The 21,786-nt window shown below is 54.0% G+C and overlaps 2 protein-coding genes across 14 annotated transcripts in view, besides 5 other annotated features; one reads left to right on the plus strand and one right to left on the minus strand.

Moving 5' to 3' along the window:
• SLC39A5 (solute carrier family 39 member 5) lies at window positions 132–7,927 on the plus strand. 11 transcript variants are annotated; one of them, XM_047428714.1, is made up of 13 exons: window positions 132–203; window positions 321–376; window positions 801–981; window positions 1,285–1,642; window positions 2,770–2,953; window positions 4,905–5,067; window positions 5,238–5,407; window positions 5,641–5,781; window positions 6,477–6,573; window positions 6,663–6,827; window positions 7,012–7,092; window positions 7,231–7,421; window positions 7,669–7,927. In XM_047428714.1, exons 4-13 carry the CDS (start codon window positions 1,356–1,358, stop codon window positions 7,810–7,812), a joined length of 1,623 nt encoding a protein of 540 aa, XP_047284670.1. In that variant the 5' UTR covers window positions 132–203; window positions 321–376; window positions 801–981; window positions 1,285–1,355; the 3' UTR covers window positions 7,813–7,927.
• Window positions 6,986–7,204: a silencer, noted in NCBI's record as "fragment chr12:56630689-56630907 (GRCh37/hg19 assembly coordinates)". NCBI's record gives its function as "represses an EF-1alpha promoter that drives an FKBP-Casp9 reporter gene in an ReSE screen in phorbol 12-myristate 13-acetate-treated (for megakaryocytic differentiation) K562 erythroleukemia cells {active_cell/tissue: K562(+PMA)}" and the evidence as "EXISTENCE:reporter gene assay evidence [ECO:0000049][PMID:32094911]".
• The window catches only part of ANKRD52 (ankyrin repeat domain 52), a 20,578-nt gene continuing 6,679 nt past the window's right edge, over window positions 7,888–21,786 (minus strand). For all 3 annotated transcript variants that reach the window (NM_173595.4, XM_017019183.2, XM_011538197.3), the window contains 13 exons: window positions 18,840–18,951; window positions 18,576–18,647; window positions 18,104–18,305; window positions 17,768–17,855; window positions 17,574–17,691; window positions 15,458–15,677; window positions 15,184–15,271; window positions 14,987–15,070; window positions 14,733–14,878; window positions 14,434–14,516; window positions 14,132–14,214; window positions 13,866–13,957; window positions 7,888–13,473 (listed from right to left, as the gene is read on the minus strand). In NM_173595.4, the coding sequence (NP_775866.2) occupies window positions 13,223–13,473; window positions 13,866–13,957; window positions 14,132–14,214; window positions 14,434–14,516; window positions 14,733–14,878; window positions 14,987–15,070; window positions 15,184–15,271; window positions 15,458–15,677; window positions 17,574–17,691; window positions 17,768–17,855; window positions 18,104–18,305; window positions 18,576–18,647; window positions 18,840–18,951 (1,639 nt within the window). In that variant the 3' untranslated portion in view covers window positions 7,888–13,222. The remainder of the gene's footprint in view (window positions 13,474–13,865; window positions 13,958–14,131; window positions 14,215–14,433; window positions 14,517–14,732; window positions 14,879–14,986; window positions 15,071–15,183; window positions 15,272–15,457; window positions 15,678–17,573; window positions 17,692–17,767; window positions 17,856–18,103; window positions 18,306–18,575; window positions 18,648–18,839; window positions 18,952–21,786) is intronic.
• Window positions 13,187–13,356: an enhancer, noted in NCBI's record as "experimental_29670 CRE fragment used in MPRA reporter constructs". NCBI's record gives its function as "activates a minimal promoter by MPRAs in K562 erythroleukemia cells, with activity observed for both the introgressed and non-introgressed 12:56636975 variant alleles {active_cell/tissue: K562}" and the evidence as "EXISTENCE:reporter gene assay evidence [ECO:0000049][PMID:34662402]".
• Window positions 14,289–14,458: an enhancer, noted in NCBI's record as "experimental_29671 CRE fragment used in MPRA reporter constructs". NCBI's record gives its function as "activates a minimal promoter by MPRAs in K562 erythroleukemia cells, with activity observed for both the introgressed and non-introgressed 12:56638077 or rs74673257 variant alleles {active_cell/tissue: K562}" and the evidence as "EXISTENCE:reporter gene assay evidence [ECO:0000049][PMID:34662402]".
• Window position 14,374: a transcriptional cis regulatory region, noted in NCBI's record as "Neanderthal adaptively introgressed variant 12:56638077 (GRCh37/hg19 assembly coordinates) or rs74673257 in the experimental_29671 CRE". NCBI's record gives its function as "modulates activity of the experimental_29671 enhancer by MPRAs in K562 erythroleukemia cells {active_cell/tissue: K562}" and the evidence as "EXISTENCE:reporter gene assay evidence [ECO:0000049][PMID:34662402]".
• Window positions 14,479–14,648: an enhancer, noted in NCBI's record as "experimental_29672 CRE fragment used in MPRA reporter constructs". NCBI's record gives its function as "activates a minimal promoter by MPRAs in K562 erythroleukemia cells, with activity observed for both the introgressed and non-introgressed 12:56638267 variant alleles {active_cell/tissue: K562}" and the evidence as "EXISTENCE:reporter gene assay evidence [ECO:0000049][PMID:34662402]".

Consider the following 21,786-nt stretch of genomic DNA (forward strand, 5'->3'; position numbering starts at 1 on the left):
GGTGGGGTGTCCCTAGAAGGTGGAAGGAAAATAGGTTACAGGTAAGGAGGCCCAGGCAAAGCAGACCTGCCCCTTTAAGGTAGTGTCCCTCCCCTACCCCCTCCCTGCAGGTGACCCTTGCCCGCCTGCCTGCCTGCCCCCCCAGCTGGAACCAAGAAGGTTGTGTCCCCCTTCCTCTGGGTGTCCTTGTCTCCTGCTATCAGGTAATGCCAACCTCAACCCCCTGGACCAGTCACCCCGATCAGACTTTGCTTGCCTGATTTTAGGCCAGGTCAGACATCAGAGGAGAGCCCAGATCCTTGTTTCCTCTCCCCCCGCAGGGCTTCCCCTTTCTTGGTCATCGATCCCTAGAGCTCTGGCTCTTTCTCTTCTTGGGGTGAGAAACTGCTAAGAACAGTTTATTTCCCATGCATGCATCTGGGCTTGCCACTGATCTGCCTTTTCCCCCCTCCTCCCCAGGTTAGGGACACCTGGGTCCAACCTTCCCAAGGAATATGGGGATGGGGGTTGGAGATGAAGTTTAGTGCTAGACTGTAAGGTAGGTGGGGTGGAAGTACATGAGGGAAAGGGCTAAAATGGTACTAATGGTGTTAAGGATAGGGTGAATTATTTAAGAGGAAAAAGACTAGGCCCAGGTTCTCCTTAGCCATGTGGCTTTCCCAGGGCAGAGGGTGGCCCCTCCCTACCCAGGGGCCCAGCAGAGACTGACTTTTGATCCCTACCCCAGAGACCAGTGAACCATTAACTCCTCTCTTATGTGAGCCTTCACACACTGGCCCCACCCCTGACCCCGCCCCAAGGCAGGTGGGCTAGGAGGGGGTGCATGTCCATCTCAGCCTTCTATGTGACGTGGCCTCCGATCCACCTGGACACCTGGAGGCTAAGCCTGGATTCCCCCTTCCCTGACTCAGGAACTGCTTAACGTCTACAGCAAGGCCTAATAGGGGACCTGAGGTGACAGCTCTTATGTTGCCAGTAGGGGTGAGGCCCTGGGGATTGAGGGGGGATAAAGAGGTGGGGCAAAGTTGAGGGGTGGGGTTTAGGGGACAAGGAATGGACGGTCAGCTCTGGATGAAGTATGAGGAGAGCTCTGACTCAGGGAGGTGCTCCAGGAACCAGCAAACAAGAGGCTGCTCCCGCAGGAGGCAGTGTGAAGGGAGAAAGAAGGCTGCAGTAGGGGCTGCTGCTGGACTCGGTGGGGAGCAGGTGCAAGGAGCTCTGGCTCCCCCATGGACCTGAGCTGGAGAGCAGAGCGCAGCTCCAGCCCATTCCTCATTCTTCCAGGGCACAGTCCTCAGGATGTTTCGGGGAGAATAGGAGCCAGAACCTGAGCCCCTAAGCTATTCCCCTCACCAATGATGGGGTCCCCAGTGAGTCATCTGCTGGCCGGCTTCTGTGTGTGGGTCGTCTTGGGCTGGGTAGGGGGCTCAGTCCCCAACCTGGGCCCTGCTGAGCAGGAGCAGAACCATTACCTGGCCCAGCTGTTTGGCCTGTACGGCGAGAATGGGACGCTGACTGCAGGGGGCTTGGCGCGGCTTCTCCACAGCCTGGGGCTAGGCCGAGTTCAGGGGCTTCGCCTGGGACAGCATGGGCCTCTGACTGGACGGGCTGCATCCCCAGCTGCAGACAATTCCACACACAGGTACTGACCCCTTCCTCCACTCCACAGGGCCACATCTCCCAGGTCCTCTCAGTGCTTGCCCCCAGTTGCCTCGTTCTGGCTTCCTCACGAGATCCCTGGAGTTACAAATTCTTCAGAACCGAGCTCCTTGGTATCTCTTCAAAACCTCTCATGCTTCTATTGCCTTCTCTCTCTTTTCTTGAGACTGGGGGTCTCGCTTTGTCACCCAGGCTAAAGTGCAGTGACACATTCACGGCTCACTGCAACCTCTGCTTCCCAGGCTGAAGCCATCCTCCCACCTCAGCCTCCTGAGCAGCTGGGACCATAGGCACACACCACCACAGCCGGCTAATTTTAAAAATTTTTTACAGAGACAAGGGTTTCGCTGTGTTGCCCAGGCTGGTCTCAAACTCCTGGGCTCAGCTCAGCGATCTGCCTGCCTCAGCTTCCCAAAGTGCTGGGACTACAGATGTGAACTACCACCCTAGCCCTCCGTTGCCTTCTAATTCTCTCCTCCTCCAAATCTCTAAGCCCTTAAATTTCTTGCTCTTAGTATCACTGTTCAGTGTCTCTGGGCTGATTTGGCTCCAAATTCGTAGACTTCTTTTTTCTTTTCTTTTCTTTTTTTTTTTTTTTTTTTTTTGAGACAGAGTCTCGCTCTGTCGCCCAGGCTGGAGTGCAGTGGTGTGATCTTGGCTCACTGTAACCTCTGCCTCCCCGGTTCAAGCGATTCTCCTGCCTCGGCCTCCTGAGTAGCTGGGATTACAGGCACACACCACCACGCCGGGCTAATTTTTGCAATTTTAGTAGAGACGGGGTTTCACCATTTTGGTCAGGCTGGTCTCGAACTTCCAACCTCAGGTGATCCACCCACCTCAGCCTCCCAAAGTGCTGGGATTACAGGCGTGAGCCACCGTGCCCAGCCATTCGTAGCCCTTTTGGTTGTCGTCCTTTTTTTTCTGTCCCCCCCAGTGGCAGAAAATGGACAACTCACAGATCTTCCTAAGAATGACATTCCATGGTTTCTGGGTCCCAGGATCTCCAGTCAGTGGCTAGTCCCCCCATTCCCCCTAAAATCCCTGGGAGCCTCTCAAAGCGGGTTGATAGAGAACACAAGGGAGGCTGACTTGCTGTCTCATCCATTCCAGGCCACAGAACCCTGAGCTGAGTGTGGATGTCTGGGCAGGGATGCCTCTGGGTCCCTCAGGGTGGGGTGACCTGGAAGAGTCAAAGGCCCCTCACCTACCCCGTGGGCCAGCCCCCTCGGGCCTGGACCTCCTTCACAGGCTTCTGTTGCTGGACCACTCATTGGCTGACCACCTGAATGAGGATGTGAGTCTGACGGTCTCTAGAGGGGAAGGAGCCATGGGATTAGATGGCCTGAAATGTTTAAATAATCAGTAGTTTTTTGTTTTGTTTTGTTTTTAAATCCCAACGTGGACCAAGCGTGGTGGCTCACGCCTGTAATCCCAACACTTTGGGAGGCCGAGGTGGGTGGATCACCTGAGGTCAGGAGTTCGAGACCAGCCTGGCCAACATGGTGAAACCCCATCTCTACTAAAAAATACAAAAATTAGCCGGGTGTGGTAACAGGTGTGTGTAATCCTAGCTACTCAGGAGGCTGAGGTGAGAAAATTGCTTGAACTTGGGAGGCAGAGGTTGCAGTGAGCCAAGATGGCACCATTTGCACTCCAGCCTGGGCAACAAGAGGGAGACTCTGTCTCAAAAAAAAAAAAAAAAAAAAAAAAAAAAAAAAAAAAATAGCTGGGCGTGGTGGCACATGCCTATAATCCCAGTTACTCGGAAGGCTGAGGCAGGAAAATCACTTGAACCCAGGAGGCGGAGATTGCAGTCAGCCGAGATTGCACCACTGCACTCCAGCCTGGGTAACACAGCGAGACTCTGTCTCAAAAATGAAAATAAAAAAAATAAAAAAATAAAAAAAAAATATCTCACTGTGGTCTTAGGGGATGTTATTTCAATAGTGAACTATGTTCCCTCTGGGATCAGAGCAGGTGAGCCCATATCCAGAGCTCCAAGACTCAGTTTAGGGGAATAGATGGCAAAGCAGAGAATCTAGAGAAGCAGCCCAGGGTAGGATCTGGATGGTCACCTGGAGAGGAGACCTGCAGGGAATGGATGGCTGTCTTCATCCAGAAAGACAGAGAATATATTCCACTTACACCAGAGGGCAGACAAAGCTGCCTAACCCTGATGGAGGTCCAGTGAGTGCCCATTGCAGGAAGCATTCAAGCTGAGGCTGGATGAACATCGACAGGGCTGTTGAGAGGGAGATTAGATGGCATTTCAGGGTCTTTTCCCTTTTAAGATTCTGGCATGGAGAGCTCTAGTTTTCCAACCAGCTTCATTTATCAAATCAACAAAATGATTGAAATGATCAGAGTTTGCAGGGAAGATGATGACAATGCTCACTAGCACCCAGTTTGCATCAAATTGAATACCTGCATTGGACTGAATATTCACTAATAATACACATTGATTATAAGTACCCTTGGCCCTAGTCCCCAAGGTACCTGCCAGTAGGAGCAAAGGGGACCCTGGGAGAGACCCAGGAGTCTATGCAATGGAAGGACAGGTGTTAAATATATATATATATATTTTTTTGAGGTAGAGTCTGACTCTGTCACCCAGGCTGGAGTGCAATGGCGTGATCTTGGCTCACTGCAACCTCCACCTCCTGGGTTAAAGCAATTCTCCTGCCTCAGCCTCCCGAGTAGCTGGGATTATAGGTGTTCACTACTATCCCCAGCTAATTTTTTTTTTTTTTTTTTGAGATGGAGTCTCACTCTGTCGCCCAGGCTGGAGTGCACTGGTGCAATCTCGGCTCACTGCAACCTCTGCCTCCTGGGTTCAAGCGATTCTCCTGTCTCAGCCTCCTGAGTAGCTGGGATCACAGGTGCACGCCACCATGCCCAGCTAATTTTTTGTATTTTAGTAGAGACAGGGTTTCACCATGTTGCCCAGGCTGGTCTCGAACTCCTGAGCTCAGGCAATCTACCCACCTCAGCCTCCCAAAGTGCTGGGATTACAGGCGTGAGCCACCGCACCCGGCTCATCCCCAGCTAATTTTTGTATTTTTAGTAGAGACAGGGTTTCACTATGTTGGCCAGGTTGGTCTCAAACTCCTGACCTCAGATGATACACCCGCCTGGGCCTCTCAAGGGCTGGGATTATAGGTGTGAGCCACTACACCTGGCCAGGTGTTAAAGATCTGAGTCATAGTTCCTGGTGATTCTCCAATGTATGACCCTCAATTCTCCAGTGTCTGAACGGCTCCCAGCTGCTGGTCAATTTTGGCTTGAGCCCCGCTGCTCCTCTGACCCCTCGTCAGTTTGCTCTGCTGTGCCCAGCCCTGCTTTATCAGATCGACAGCCGCGTCTGCATCGGCGCTCCGGCCCCTGCACCCCCAGGGGATCTACTATCTGGTCAGCAAGTAGGAGTGGGTGGGGGACACCCTGAATCCTGGAAGTGGGGCCCATGCCAAAAAGGAGGCTCACTGGGGTCCTGCCTCTCCTTGTAGTGTTCTCTCTGCTCCACCTTACGTGTGGGACCCTCCTCTTGCCCTGACCTAACTTCAGCCCCTGATTCTCCCCAGCCCTGCTTCAGAGTGCCCTGGCAGTCCTGTTGCTCAGCCTCCCTTCTCCCCTATCCCTGCTGCTGCTGCGGCTCCTGGGACCTCGTCTACTACGGCCCTTGCTGGGCTTCCTGGGGGCCCTGGCGGTGGGCACTCTTTGTGGGGATGCACTGCTACATCTGCTACCGCATGTATGTGAAGCCCCTTCCTTGTACCCCTGGCCTCCATGGATCTAAGGTGTCCCCAGCCATAGGACATCCCCTCCGCCTTTCCATCAGCTCCCATATCCTACTCCCAGATCCTGGCTTCAGCCCACAGCTGCCTTCTAGTAGAGCATATGAGCGAAGGCTTGCCACAATCCATGCAAGGGGATGTTGTTGGGTATAGGGGCTTCCAGAGTCTGCCCTGACCTTCTCTCTGTCAGGCACAAGAAGGGCGGCACGCAGGACCTGGCGGACTACCAGAGAAGGACCTGGGCCCGGGGCTGTCAGTGCTCGGAGGCCTCTTCCTGCTCTTTGTGCTGGAGAACATGCTGGGGCTTTTGCGGCACCGAGGGCTCAGGCCAGTGAGTGATACCCTTTTCTCCTCCTTCTGCTGAGACCAGAGTCCCAGTCAAGAACTGGGCCAGGCCGGGCGCGGTGGCTCACGCCTGTAATCCCAGCACTTTGGGAGCCCAAGGCGGGCAGATCACAAGGTTAGGAGTTCGAGTCCAGCCTGACCAACATGGTGAAACCCTGTCTCTACTAAAAATACAAAAATTAGCTGGGCGTGGTGGTGCGTGTCTGTAATCCCAGCTACTCAGGAGGCTGAGGCAGGAGAATCGCTTGACTTGGGAGGTGGAGGTTGCAGCGAGCTAAGATGGCACCACTGCACTCCAGCCCAGGTGACAGAGCGAGACTCCATCTCAAAAACAACAACAACAACAACAAAACTGGGCCAAAAAGCCAAGAGATGAGGAGCAGTGTGTGCTCCTGGATCTCTGACATTTGCCTGGTGTGCAGGACCTATCGGCTAACAGGGAGTGGGTAGGGGCTCCTTAAGCACAGACCCAGGACTTCTGGCCAAATGGCATCCTATTCTGAGCTCAAGTCAACAAGAAACAGAGGGGAGGTGCCAACTTGGGAAGAAGGTAGAGGCCAAAGAACATCCCAGGTGCCAGAGGTGGAACCAGGTGTTCATCTTCCCAGCTTGTGGCCTGGCTTCCCCTTAGTCCCTGGCTCTGCTGCCTCCTCCACCAGGAGGGATGCCCTCCTATTTCAGAGATGCTGCAGGCGAAAACGAAGGAATCTCGAAACACGCAACTTGGATCCGGAGAATGGCAGTGGGATGGCCCTTCAGCCCCTACAGGCAGCTCCAGGTGACTAGAGGAGAAAATTTGAAGAGTAGGTTCCAAGCTCACAGTCCTTACTTGCAGCCACCAACACTGTCCTGTGCTTCTTCCCGCAGAGCCAGGGGCTCAGGGCCAGAGGGAGAAGAACAGCCAGCACCCACCAGCTCTGGCCCCTCCTGGGCACCAAGGCCACAGTCATGGGCACCAGGGTGGCACTGATATCACGTGGATGGTCCTCCTGGGAGATGGTCTACACAACCTCACTGATGGGCTGGCCATAGGTGTGAGGGGTGGGAACGGAGGGAAGCAGGTCCGAGGGGAGGCCAGGGCTCCTAGTTATCAGCTGGGGCTAGGAGAGGGCCGTCAGGAAGATGGGGAGAGGACGGGAGGACCACGGAACACAGGAACCTGCTTCTGAGGAGACTTTTCTTCTGGACTGACAACTTCCGACCCTGCTGGCCCCAGGTGCTGCCTTCTCTGATGGCTTCTCCAGCGGCCTCAGTACCACCTTAGCGGTCTTCTGCCATGAGCTGCCCCACGAACTGGGTAGGAATGGCAGGAGCAGGGTGGGGTGGACTCCAGAAAGGAGATAGCTCCAAGGGGTAGAGCTTGGAGGCTGGTGGGTGGCATGGATGAGGGGCACCCCAGCTTACTCCCTCCCATCCTGTCCTCTGTCTCCAATAGGTGACTTTGCCATGCTGCTCCAGTCAGGGCTGTCCTTTCGGCGGCTGCTGCTGCTGAGCCTCGTGTCTGGAGCCCTGGGATTGGGGGGTGCAGTCCTGGGGGTGGGGCTCAGCCTGGGCCCTGTCCCCCTCACTCCCTGGGTGTTTGGGGTCACTGCTGGGGTCTTCCTCTATGTGGCCCTTGTGGACATGGTGAGAGATGTCGGGTAGAGCAGAGAAATCAAGGGCAGTGGGGAGGCGGGAGTGGAGAGGGAGGTAGCAGTCCCTCCGCCTCTACCATTAGCTCCTGGAAGGGCGTCAGACCATAGGCCCGCAAAAGTCTGAGAAACAAGGGACTAAGGTGTTTGGGTGGGGGCTGCTGATGCTTTCTGACACCATTCCTCTGGAGTTGAGAGGTCAGGGGCAAGGCCAGAATCCTGACATCCTCTTTTTCTTTCAGCTACCAGCCCTGCTTCGTCCTCCGGAGCCCCTGCCTACGCCCCATGTGCTCCTGCAGGGGCTGGGGCTGCTGCTGGGGGGCGGCCTCATGCTTGCCATAACCCTGCTGGAGGAGCGGCTACTGCCCGTGACCACTGAGGGCTGATGGGGCCAGTGGAAAGGGGTCGGGTTGCCCTTCCTTCCCCCCAACCACAGGAATGGAGGCGGGACACAGGGCCAGTAGGAGCAATAGGATTTTAATAAACAGAACCCATCCCAAAGCCATGACTACGACAGTTGTACTTGCACCAAAACAGCATAGAAAACCAGAGTGTGGTGGGAGGACCCGAAGCCGGTTGGGGGAGGATGTGAGTAGGGGCCTGGAGGGTGCAGGGTCATTAATCTGCGGGGAGAACATTGTGCTTTAGCCCAGGGAGGGGAGGGGTGGGGCAAATGCACCGAGGTCCCCACTTTTTCCTGCTGCCCTCGGCACCCTGGGGATGCAGGCATCTGGGCACATCTGCCCCTTATTGCTGCCCACCAGCGTTAAACGCCCCCGATCCCAACACTAGCACCACAGGTGGTTCCGGGGCAGGGAGAGGCAGGAATGGGAAAATTGCTTAGAGAAAGATTCCACTAGAATCCAGTGAATTGTGCTCAGTTCTCTTTACTTCCTACAACCGAGTACATGGGTCACAGGGTGGAGGGTGCAACAGGACATGGAACATGCCCCTCCGTGCCCCCCAACACACACCTGCACACAGGATGGTGGTGTCTGCAGCATCACAGGTCATGCAGGGCATGGGGAAGGGGAGGTTCACACACACATAGATGCCCACAGCGGGTACCAGACGGAGAACACCCCTGAATATACATAGCTGTACATGGGGAACCCCCAGGTCCCCACCCCAACCCTCTCCCCTGTCTTGCTGTCCCCCGCAGGGGAACTATATTGCTTTGAGAGAGCCACCCCAGGGGCTGCTCTGCCAGGCACCCTCCCCTCCCACCCACCCCCATTTTGGCACATCTGCAAGACACACAGCAGCGAGAGTAGGCACCCTCCCTTCCCAGGCTTCTGTGGCCTGGAGCTGGAGAAGGGGGTAGGAGACTTCATCCTCCATCCTCCCCTAACCCTTCCCAAACCCCTGCCAAACCCACTCAAGCCAGAACCCACCCCCACCCCCCAAACACACATACAAAGCTGAGCTATCCAGGAACACAAGGGAAACAAGGAGATTGTCCAGGGTGGGAGCGGAGGCAGCGGGGGAAGAAGACTGGAAGCAGAGACCTCCCCCCTTGTGGGGGGCAGACTGGCACAACAGCTACTTTAGTGCAATTGGAGAGGGTGCCCAGAGTGAGAGGTGGAGAAGGGAGGGAAGGCGGTCCCCAACTTCCCTGGGGGCAAAGTCAGGCTTCCAGATTCCCCAGGGAAAGGGCCTAGCAGGAGTGGGTGAGGGCCAAGGTGGATCCTCTGGTTACCCGCCACCCTCTGCCCTCCCAAATGCAGTGACAGTGTCCCCCTCACACCTAAGTGGGCAACAGCAGCCTTGGAGTCAGTACCTTCAAGTAATTCAAAGAGCAGACCCTCCCCACCCCAGCTTCACCCCATCTCTGGGATTTGGTCGCTTCTCTAGGGGTTGGGTTGGGAGGAGGGAGCCCCCAAGGCAGACCCTTCCCTCTCTACCTCCCGATTCCCAGACCACTGGGCTTGGTCCTCAAAGATTCCTCACCTCCGCCCTTGCCCAACCTGGGTCAAGGCTGCAGAAGGCTGGAGCCACCACAATTAGAGGGGAAGGGGCTGCTTTGTTCCTTATCCCTCCTTCTTAAAAGGTAGGGTTCAAACTAGGCGGGATGGGGGCCCATACTGGTTTGCCCCAGGAGTAGGGTTTCTGGGCTAGGGTCTGTAAGGCTATTTTCCTTTGCGGTGGGAAGGGGAGGTAGGGGATGAACACTGGGTATGGGAAGTGGGTGAGAAATGGCTGAGAGGGAAGGAGGAAGGGGCCTCCCCGCTGGAGCAGTCACTGGAGTCATTTAGACAAAAACACTCATGTGCATAAGATACACAGTGCGCAAACTCAGCCCTGCCAGCCCGGCCCCAATCCCACCTCTCAGGACTCCTTCCAAGACCCTGGAGGAGGTTCTGGGGATACAGCTGTAGAACCGTTCACTCTGGCCCCATCCACCCCACCTCCAGCCTCTTCTCCCCTTCTAGGTCCAGGGAGTAAGAAGGTGCTCGGGTGGGCAGACAGTGGTGGAAACAGTATTGAGTTTTCCTTTGGTTACATATTGAAGGCAAAGGTGAGCTGGACTTACAGTCAAAACGGATAGGGGTGAGGAAGGAAGAGGGGCCATGGCTGGGGTTGGAGAGGGAGGTAGGCCCTCCTCAGCCCCTCCACCCCAAGAAACACATCTACGTGGGGTGGCAGTCCCTCAGTCTTTTCTCTCCCACGCCCCACAGCACCAAACAAAAGGAGAAGCCCCCTCCCCCAGGGGCTGCTCCCCACCCCAACCTGGGCTGTACATTCAGTGGTTTTCAGCAGTCCTATGGCTCAGGGGGCCACGGGGCAGGGGAGGTGGCCCGTCAGTCTCAGTGGACAGTGGCAGTGACCCGGGTCTGCTGGTCCTTCCTGGGACCCACGGTTTGTGCCATTCGTTTTTCTGAAGGATAGTATATGACCCTACCAGAGCCACCGCCCAATCAGAAATAGCTCCCCCAAAATCAGAAACTAAAAACTGGCTCTTTCCATCTCACCCTCTGATTCACACGTCTGTTTCCCTGTCTCCTATGTCGCCCTCGCTCTGTTTCCTTTGCTGGGACCTGGGGCTGCTCCCAGGGTCCTCGCTTAAAATAGGCCTTTTCACAAAAGTGCTTATTACTTGAAGCAAGTGCTTTAGGGCTGCGGTGGGGAGAGGGGGGAGGGGGAGGGCAAAGGGAAGGCGCTGTTCCCTCCCCGCCCTCCCCCATGAAGACTGGGGGGCATTCTGCCTGTTTTACTTCTCCACACCCGTTTAAGTCAAAGAGGTTTAAAAAAAATCTTAACATTAAAATAAATATGCAGTGGCCATGAGAATGGTCAAAATGCTTCAAAAAACACTAGGGCTGGGGAGCCCAGGGTGGGGCGTGGGGTTTCCTTTGGCATAAGGAGAGGAGGCTGCTTGTCCCCCAGGCTTCCTCACAGCCACATATGGAGGGACAGAGGACTCCCCACCACCTCCCAGCACTGCTGACAGTGCGCTGAGGGCAGCAGGGCGCAGACAGCCCCCAGAAATCTCATCTAGCAAGACAACGGGGCTCTGACACTCAGACGCTTCCCGCCATCACCAAACATCACGAAAGGAGAACACGACTCACACCCGGCAAGTTCTCTCTGGAGGACCCATCTTCTCACTCCCCTTGCCCCCCACCACCTAATTCCCAGCACCAAGATGAGAGGGAGGGGGTGGAATGGGAAGATTTCAGGAGAGAGAATTGAAGGGAAGGCAAGCTTTGCAGAGCCAGCAGGGTTGGGGATGGGGGCTGCAGCCCTTAAGAGAGGTCACATTGATTGTCATATAGGGGAGGACACGGTGTGGAGGGAGGTGGGCAAGAGGGGCGTCACAAGGCCCTTTGGCTTTGAAAATAAAAATAAAAACTAAAAGCTGCACAATCCTTCTCATCAATAATGGTCATTTGGAAGCCTTGAAATGATTTAGGAACTGAGGGTTGGGAGAAGCAAAACACAGAGAGACAGGGGATCAAAAGGGACCATGAAAAGATAAGGACTTGGACAACACCCCAGGCTTCTGGAAACCAGCATGAGGTATGGTTAAAGGTATCCGTTGGGGAGGGAGGGGGTCCCTGGGACGCCCCCCTCCCCTCAGCCCACCCTTGACAAGGGTGGCAAGACATTCAGGGTATACAACTAAAAGATGGGTAAGACTGTGAATAAAGCAAACTTGAGTAGGGGAGGGAGGCTGAAGGATCCCCCCTCAGGGGAGACCCTGTACTGTGTAAACGAAGCCTGTCCAGTTCTCAGGGGACAATACTGATGGCAGCCAAACTGGGCAAGGATGCAGTGTGGGGGCGGAGGGGGCATGACCTCTATTCAAGTTCTGTGTCTTGGCCCCTGGCTGAGGTATTGAGTGTGAGGAAGGGAACACTGGGCTGCAGGAGTGGGTCCAACTGTCCAGGAGGCTGCACTAGGAGATGGGTGGACAGAGCACTTAAAGGGACCAGGGCCAAATTCAATGCTACATTTAGAGAGAAAACTGCCCCCTCTTCACTCCAGCCCAGTTTGGCTTTTGGGGTGCGACTTTAGAAATCTTATCAGTGCAGCCCCCAGCTCAATCCCATCTTTCCTCCCTGCTGGGAAGGCAGGGACCAAGCCCCAGTACCTATTCATCTCTCTCTAGGTCAGAGCTTCTTCCTCACACTGGAGGGGAAGCCTGGGTCCCGAGTAGCCACGGTCCCTTGTCGGCCCTGCCCCTCCTACCATCTTTGGCTTCAGATCAGGAGTGACTGGGGCAGTGGGTACTCTTGGACATAACGGAAGGTGGAGGCAGATAGGGAGCACAGATAAACTATGGGCTTGGCGGCACAGGAGGAAGAACATGGTCCCTCCCTCCATATACATGCAAACACATGCCTGAAACACAGTGGACATACTAGGGCTGTGGTTTTGAAATGGGCAGGAAATTAATTTGTTTCTTCCCCTAAAGGATAAAACGCTTACTTAAAAATTCATGACAAGCCTCAAAGTTCAAGGGAAGGAGAGCCAGGGCAGGAATGACCACAGGCTCTGCCCTCCCAAAAGAAGATAAAAGAAAGAAGCAAGGTTAAAGTGCGTGGTTAGGGGCCAGGCTAGGAGTGGGAGGGAATGGGGAGGGGGCAGGCTGTGGGGGCAGAACCAGCCCTTGATTTGCATATGAGGAGCCAGGGGAGAGTGCAGGATTGGGGCCCAGGTACAGTAGTTGCTGCTTCAAGTGTTTTGCATTTGAACTTTAGGGGTGATAGGGTACAGAAGTGGGGAAAAAGCTCCAGGCCCCAGTGCTAAATATCCTCCCCCCTCATCCTCTAGCTGCCCCTGAAGGGGGGAGGGGGACACCCCCAGAGTGCTCACACAGTACCAGAAATTAAGGCTTCTCACTGCTGCGGGGATGGAGGGACCGGCCGAGCAGGGAGGCAGTGATGGGTATGGAAGAAGAGGGGATCTGCCTGGCAGTAGGGGCAGGGGAGAAGGGGGACACAGAGAGGAGTCCCCAGGGAAGAGTCGGGGGAGCTGGCAGCAGAAAGAGGGAACCAAGAGATGGAGTCAAAGAGTGGGGGAGCCAGGCATTTAGCAATCATTTTGGGACACTTGGCAGAAGGGGTCGCCCTGGGGGTACCAAGGGCCTGGGGTGCTCCCTGTCAGTCCCAGACCCCTGCCAGGCCAAGATGGTGTGGCAAAGGGGTGAGCAGCTGCTCCCCAGGGCTTCCTTCCCCTCCGCCCCCTCCACCCAGTCGTGTTCTCCTTTAAAGTGCCCTAAATGTTTAGACTTTTTCTAAATAAATAGAATTAGATATCAAGCCACCGGCGGGGGAGGGACACTGGAGGGGGCTACTCAGAGTAGCAGCCATCTAACCCAATGGCGCCGGGCCGCTCCTGGCTGTAGGGGCAGGAGGCCCCATGGGGCAGGGCGCCGCAGCCACCCACCGTCTTGGCGGCTGCAATGCTGCAGTTCTTGAGCAGGCTGAAGCTGAAAGGACTGACGGCGTCCTTGGGTGGGAAAGGCTTCATGGTGGAAAGGATCAAGGCCAGGCAGTCTGCCACATCTTTGTTGGGGGCACAGGCCAGTGCTGGGGTGTGACCTGCAGGGCCAAGGGGGAGAACTGAGGCATAGAGTCCTGTATCCTAGCCAGCCTCCCCCAAGCCCTGAAGTCTCTTCTCTGTGGAGGGAGCCAAGGCAGGCAGGTACCCAGCAGCGGCAGAATCCAAGGGTGACGAGGGCCCAGGAAGGCTGACAGGCAGATTCTCTAAGTACGGGTTAAAGGGCGGGCATGGGAGTCAAAGCCTAGGGTGTGGAGTCCTCCTGACCCTGCAGGCTCCCCTCTGAGACTCCAGAGTACTGGTGTGGGCTCCCTGCTCTGAAGAGTTCCCTTGGGAAGAAAATCCCATGTATAGCAAGATTAAGAAGTCACCTCCTGAAGAATGTCCCTGACCCCAAACCCAAGAGAGGCATGGGGCCCCAGACCCCACCCACCTTCTTCATCCACAGCCAGCACTGTGGCCCCATGACTCAGCAGGGCCTGTACCACAGAAGCTAGACCATTCCGGGCAGCAATGTGGAGTGGCCTTGGAAAAAAGGAAAAAGAAGGAGCTTGATGCTAAGCTGCCCTTCCACCTCCAGACAGGGTGGCAAGGGTGCTGAACAAATACAATGGGCTCCAGAGAGCCTCTGAACAGCGGCCACTCTTTCATCACCCACTGGCCTCCCCCAGCCAGGAGCCCCCTTCCCCAGGCACTCACATCTGCAGCGCACTGTTGGTAGCATTGATAAGGCCAAGGTCTTGGGTTTCTGCCAGGATCATGAGGGCACATTTCTCATGGCCCTGAGGGAGGGGAACAGAGAGTGGAGACTTGTGAAGTAGAAATGTGGCAGGGTGCAGGGCAGGAGTTGGGGAGAGTAACAGGAGGACAAACAGCTGCCCAACCAGTCGGATAGGCTGGACAATCCTCACTTCTGCCCCAGTCCCCTCTGCAACCGAGACTTACCTCTCTTCATCAAGCTCTGCCCCTTATGCAGTCCCCCAATCACTTCAGGTAAGTACCTTGCTACAAGCCAAGTGGAGGGCCGTGTTCTTGTTCTCATCCAACACAGTAAGGTCTGCCTTCCCTCGATACAGCAGAAATTCTACGAGAGAAATGTGATAGAGGGACTGACCCCTCCCTCCAGAGCAGTAGCCATCCTGGCTCTCCACTTTGCATCCCGTCTGCAGATGGCGAGACATCCAAAGACAACCCTCTTGCTTTCTGAACCCCAGCCCCAGCCAGCCTCCACAGGCAGGGCTGACCCATCCTGCAAATGCCCCAGGGGAGCTCCTCCCTTCCACAAGTGGCCCCTACACACCCACAGCAGCGGTCTGCCCGTTCTCAGCCGCCGTCATGAGCGCAGTGCGGCCAGTGTGGTCAGTGGCGTTCACCTCAGCTTGATGCTGCAGCAGCATCCGGAGCCCAGAGACATTGTCCGCGAAGGCAGCGGCGTGAAGGGGGGTCCTGTAAGGCAGGGATCAGGGTAGATTAAAATAGGGAAGAGTATACTGCCCAAGCAGAAAGGGGAAGCCAGAGGCAACTGGGATTCTTCCCAAGTCTTCCATCACTCACCGTCCTTTGGCATCTCGGCTGTTCACAATCTTGGCACCCAGAGCTCCCAGTAGCATCTCTGTGGTGCTGTCTTGGTTATTAATCCTAGAGGAAGAGGGAGGAGGGGTCATCAGGAAGGACAAGGGAAGTAGACTACCTGTCCTAAGCTCAAGTCATGGGCCCTCGCGAGAAGGGCTGATGCAGCAGAAGGGACTTACACTGCACAGTGCAAAGGAGTGAAGGGGTTTCCTTCCAGGTACGAAAACGGGCTGTGTTCAAGTAACAACTCCAGACAATCTTCATGTCCTGGGCACGAGGAAGGAAGAGTAGTGATGGAGAAAAACGGCAAGGTTCCCTGTCTGTCCTGTGTCTTGACACTCCATTCCACTTCCAGATTCAGATCAACCCAGGTCCCCCCCAACAACCCACCTGTCCCCCTCTACACACACTCCAACACATGCTCCTGTGCCTGTGGAGGCCCCAGTCTAGTACCAGTGTAGGAGGCCCAGTGCATGGGCGAGTATCCGCTGTAATCCACCCCGGCATCCAGGGGATCTGTGGAAAGGGCAGCCTGCAGCAGGGTCCGCAGTACTGCAGTGTGGCCACAGGCTGAGGCCAGGTGAATGGGCGTGCGGCCCTTAAAGTCTCGGCACAGCACAAATGCGTCGTGGTCCAGCAGGGCAGCCAGGCAGTCCTCACAGCCAGTCACTGCCTGTGAGTAACATGGGGGTGTGAGGGGGATGAAAAGCTCCTCCTTTTCCACTGGCCTGTTGCTGGAGTCTGGCTCAGGAGTAAGAACCACTTCCAGGGCTCCAATCCTTGTCTTTTTTTTTTTTTTTTTTTTTTTGGAGTCGGAGTCTTGCTCTGTCGCCCAGGCTGGAGTGCAGTGGCATAATCTCGGCTCACTGCAACCTCTGCCTCCCCGGTTCAAGCGATTCTCCTGCCTCAGCCTCCCAAGTAGCTGGGATTACAGGCAGGTGCCACCATGCCCGGCCAATTTTTTTGTATTTTTAGTAGAGACAGGGTTTCACCACGTTAGCCAGGATGGTCTTGATCTCCTCACCTCGTGATCCGCCTGCCTCGGCCTCCCAAAGTGCTGGGATTACAGGCATGAGCCACTGGCCTCAATCCTTGTCTTTACAACAATAATTCTTTCTTTTTTTGAGACGGAGTCTCACTCTGTCACCCAGGCTGGAGTGCAATGGTGCGATCTTGGCTCACTGCAACCTCTGCCTCCCAGGTTCCAGCAATTCTCCTGTCTCAGCCTCCCAAGTAGCTGGGATTATAGGCATGCACCACCATGCCCAATTAATTTTTGTATTTTTAGTAGAGGCGAAGTTTCACCATGTTGGCCAGGCTGGTCTCAAACTCCTGACTTCAGGTGATCTGCCCGCCTTGGCCTTCCAAAGTGCTGGGATTACAGACGTGAGCCACCATGCCCGGCCCTTTACAACAACAATTCTAAGTATTAGGGACCCACATCTCCCTCCTTGACTCTCTCTATGCCAGCAGACAATCAGGATACTAAGAGTTAATACTGGAGCTCTGGAGTTAATACTGGAAAGACTAAATGGAGAGAAGGAGACTAAGGGATCAAAAAATCTTATGGGAGGAGGAGGCAGCTTAGGACAGGTGGTCACGGAAGAGGATCTAGGTTGTGGCGACATTATGCGATGGGTTGGGGCCAGCAGGGTATCCCAGGTAGAGTCTGGGTGGTGAGCACTCAGTTGTACGTGATTACAAAGCACAGATATTGGCCAGGCACAGTGGCTCACGCCTGTAATCCCAACCCTTTGGGAGGCCAAGGCGGGTGGATCTCATCATCAGGAGATTGAGACTACCCTGGCTAACACGGTGAAACCCTGTCTCTACTAAAAATACAAAAATTAGCCAGGCGTGGTGGCAGGCGCCTGTAATCCCAGCTACTCGGGAGGCTGAGGCAGGAGAATTGCTTGAACCCAGGAGGCGGAGGTTGCAGTGAGCCGAGATCACGCCACTGCACTCCAGCCTGGGTGACAGAGCGAGACTCTATCTCAATAATAATAATAATAATAATAATAATAATAATAATAATAATAATAATAATAATAAACAAAGCACAGATATCAGGGAAATCAGCTGGGGACGTCAGGAACTCATCCTGGAGCAAGCACAAAGCTCAATAAAATCCTGGGCACAGCGTGGGTCTGGTGGCTCATGCCTGTAATCCCAGCACTTCGGGAGGCCAAGGTGGGGGGATCACTTGAACCCAGGAGTTCAAGACCAGCTTGGGCAAGATGGTAAGACCCCCATATCTACAAAAAATACAAAAATTAGCTGGGCATGATGGCATGTGCCTACAGTTTCAGCTACTTAGGAGGCTGAGGTGCGAGAATCACCTGAGCCCAGGAAGTCAAGGCTGCAGTGAGCTGTGATAGTGTCACTGCACTCCAACCTGGGCAATGGGAGTGAGACCCTGTCTCAAAAAAAAAAAAAAAAAAGAAAAAGAAAAAAGACGGCACAAAATCCTGGCTTGCCTCCTAGACAATTGGATTCCCTACTGCTGGTGAGTCCCATGCTCCCACACTGAGGCCCATGTGCAAACAATCCCCCCTAGAAGCTCACTCACCCCGCGGTGGAGGGCAGTGCGGCCCCGGAGGTCAGCAGCATCAGCTGTGGATCCTTTCTCTAGCAGCAGATGTACACAGTCCACATGGCCATTCATGATGGCCAGCATCAGTGGGGTCCTACAGAAGGGCAGGAGGAGGAGTGAGGATCCCGCAAGGACTGGAAAACCTGCACCCCACCCTGGCCCACACTCACTGTCCATAGGCATCCATGACATCTGTGATGTCAGCTCGTTCCCCACTGTCGATCAGCAAGTGCAGGGAGTCAGTGTGGCCAGAGGCAGCTAGGGGAAAGGGACCCCGTGTCAGGGCAGGGCCAGGAGGAAGAAGGGAGGCAAGGTCAAGCCTAAAGGACTTGGGGTCAATGTTACAGAAAGACCTGGGCCAGGGAGAAATCTCTGAGGATAGGAAGCTATGAATCAGGGCTTGAAGTCTCCATTCTCCTCACCCTACTCCACTTTCCAGCCCCATTCCCATCCAGGAGGGATCTGGCATGGCAAGGGTAGGGCAGCAGCCTAAAGTGGGCACTAACCAGCAGCGTGCAGGGGTGTCCACTTGCGCTTGCGCTCCTTGATGAGGGCAGAGGCGCCGTGGGCTGTAAGCACCTCCACACACTCAGTAGAGCCGCGCTCCGTGGCCAGGAAGAGTGCGGTCCGGCCCTTGTGGTCCCTTACGTCCAGATTCACCAGCGTCTCCGCCAGCGTCTTCAAGGCTTCACAGTGACCGTTGTAGGCCTGGCAAGGTGCAGGCAACCAGTGCACACAGCTCGGGACCTTCCCTGCTCCTCCCTTCCCCTTCTCTGCTCTTGGGGTCCCTGGGAAGCTCAAGGTCTTAGTCCTTGACAAGCTCCTTGGGCCCCTTAAGGCTTCCTACCCTGCACTGTGCTTATCCCCTCTCCCACAAAAAGGCAGAAGGAAGGATAACTTCACAAGTGCTGGCACCTTTGTTAGGGCCTGGGAACAGGTAGGACAAGGAAGGCAACAGAAAAAAGACGTGGGACTCACAGCTAAGTGCAAAGGGCTGACTGGAATGGTGCTCTCCACATCCTCCAGGCAGTTAAAGGACATTTCTAAGAGCTGCAAAGGACAGGAAAGTAGGTGCTGAGACTCTGGAACTCCCAAGATAGTACCCCAGTCCCCGACTCGCAGTAATCCCCACTAAGCCTCTGGATCCAAAGACCACATTTGATTGAACCCTTAGTTTTGGAATCCACAAACCCTGTGCCCTGCCCCTGCCTCCCCTCCTGCAGGCCGGGCCCCAACACATACCAGTTCGAGGTTCTGTCTGTTGCCATAGGCGGCTGCATAGTGCACAGCTGTGTAGCCCTGCCTGTCCCGCAGGGAGGGGTCTGCACCGTTATCCAGTAAGAACTCCAGACAGCTGGGGAGCCGGGGGTAGACTGTGAGGCAGGGACAGGCCCAGCCCAGGAGGGCACAGTTCTGGGAGGGCCAGAGGAGAGGACCAAGGCCCTCCAGGCCTACCTGGCCGCCACCCGTCCTCAGCTCTAGGTAGGTTCTCTAAATCCTACCCATTCTTCAATGGCAGCTCCAGACCCACTTTACCTTCTCAAGGTCTGCCCTGAACCCCTCTGGCTTCAATGCCCTCCTTTATCCTCTGAATGCTCTCCTAGAGAACCTAGAGCATGATGTTCAGTTATCAGCCTTCTGCTGACCAACATGCTTTCCCCACCTCCAGGCACGCCAACCCCTGCCCTAGGATGCTTTCTCCTCCCAGCCCACCCGAATAAGTCCTGTTCATCTCAAACTCAGTCCCAGCTTCTCTCCTCTGTGAGGCCTTTCCCAGCCTTCCCTGGGGAAGATGCCTCTTCCTCTGTGCTCCCTTGGCAGTCTTCTCATACCTTAGTAGTAGTTGTAGTAGTAGTAATAATAATAAAGTAGCACTTACTGTCAAGCACAGTTCTAAGTACTTCATGTATATTAAATAATTTAATCCTCATAAAGATCCCATGAAGTAGATACTATTTTTATCCTTACTGTGGGTGATGAAATTGAGGCATAGAGAAGTAACTTGCTGAAGGTAATAGCTGAGCCTCTTGGATTTTAGTGTCCTTTTTAAAAAAATAAATCTTAAAAAAAAATTATTTAATTTACTTATTTTAAATGGAGACAGGGGCCTGGCTCGGTTGCTCACATCTTTAATTCCAGCACTTTAGGAGGCTGAGGTGGGCAGATCACCCGCGGTCAGGAGTTCGTGGCCAGCCTCGCCAACATGGCGAAACCCTGTTTCTACTAAAAATACAAAAATTAGGCTGGGCGTGGTGGCTCACGCCTGCAATCCTAGCACTTTGGGAGGCCAAGGCAGGTGGATCGCCTGAGCTCGGGAGTTCAAGACCAGCCTGGGCAACATGGTGAAACCCCGTCTGTACTAAAATACAAAAAATTAGCCAGGCGTGGCAGCGTGCTCCTGTAGTCCCAGCTACTCAGGAGGCTGAGGCAGAATTGCTTGAACCCAGGAGGTGGAGGTTGCAGTGAGCCAAGTTCATGCCACTGCACTCCAGCCTGGGCAACAGAGTGAGACTCGGTCTTCAAAAAAACAATTAGCTGGGCGTGGTGATAGGCACCTGTAATCCCAGCTACTCAGGAGGAAGAGGCAGGAGAATCGCTTGAACCCCGGAGGTAGAGGTTGCAGTGAGCTGAGATCGCGCAACTGCACTAGAGCCTGGGTGACAGAGCAAGACTCCATCTCAAATAAATAAATAAATTAATTAATTTATTTATTTATTTAATTAAATAAAATAGAGATGAGTTCTCATTATGTGTTAGCCAGGCTGGTCTCATACTCCTGGGCTCAAGCAATCCTCCCACCTCAGTGCTGGAATTACAGGCATGAGTCACTGTGCCTACCTGATTTTTGTGGGTTTTTTTTTTTTTTAGAGACGGGGTCTCACTAGGCTGCCCAGGCTGGGGTGCAGTGGCTATTCATAGGCATGATCATAGTGCACTACAGCCTCAAACTCCTGGGTTTGCATGATCCTCTTGCCTTACCTGCACCTGCCTCCTGAATAACTGGGAATATATGCATGTGCCACCGTGCCCAGCAAAAAATAAACTTTTTGTTTTAGAATATTATTAGATTTATAGAAAAATTGTGGGCTAGGTGTGGTGGCTCATATCTGTAATCCCAGCACTTTGGGAGTCTGAGGCAGGAGGATTGCTTGAGCCCAGGAGTTCGAGACCAGTGTGGGCAACACAGAGAGATCCCTGACCTACAAAATAAATTAATTAAAAAAAAAAAAAAAGAAAGAAAAAGAAAAATTGTGAAGATAGTACAGGGAGTTCTCACATAACCTATACCTAGTTTCCCGTCATTAACATCTTACATTAGTATGCATAAGTGTCCTTTTATTTATCTTTCCCAATAGATTATTAGCTTTCGAAAGACAGAAATTTGGGACAATTCATCCTTTTTAAATTTTTATTTAATTTTATTTATTTATTTGTTTTTTTGGAGACAGAGTCTCACTCTGTCGCCCAGGTTGGAGTGGATTAGTGTGATCTTGACTCACTGCAACCTCCACCTCCCTGGTTCAAGTGATTCTCCTGCCTTAGCCACCCGAGTAGCTGGGATTACAGGTGCCTGCCAACATGACCAGCTAATTTTTATATTTTTAGTAGAGACGGGGTTTCACCACGTTGGCCAGGCTGGTCTCGAACTCCTGACCTCAGATGATCTGCCTGCCTCGGCCTCCCAAAGTGCTGGGATTATAGGCGTGAACCACCACACCCGGCCTATTTTTAATTTTAATTTTTTTGAGACAGAGTCTTGTTCGGTTGCCCAGGCTGGAGTGCAGTGGCGTGATCTCGGCTCACTACAACCTCCACCTCCCTGGTTCAAGCAATTCTCCTGCCTCGGCCTCCTGAGTAGCTGGGATTATAGGCGTGTGCCACCACACCTGGTTAATTTTTTGTATTTTTAGTAGAGACGGGGTTTCACCATGTTGGTCAAGCTGGTCTTGAACTCCTAACCTCAGGTGATCTGCCTACCTCAGCCTCCCTAAGTGCTAGGATTACAAGCTTGAGCCACTACGCCCAGCCTCATCTTTTATCCTTAGTATCTAGCACAGTACTTGGAACCTAGTAAGTAAATATTTAATTAATGCTTGTGGAATAAACAAATTATTTTGTACATTTAGCTTTTCTAATCCTCTCAAGAAGACCAGCCGGGCGCGGTGAGCTGAGATCACACCACTGCATT

The sequence above is a fragment of the Homo sapiens genome, chromosome 12 (genome assembly GCF_000001405.40).
Source record: "Homo sapiens chromosome 12, GRCh38.p14 Primary Assembly".
In the NCBI taxonomy this organism is placed as follows: domain Eukaryota; kingdom Metazoa; phylum Chordata; class Mammalia; order Primates; family Hominidae; genus Homo; species Homo sapiens.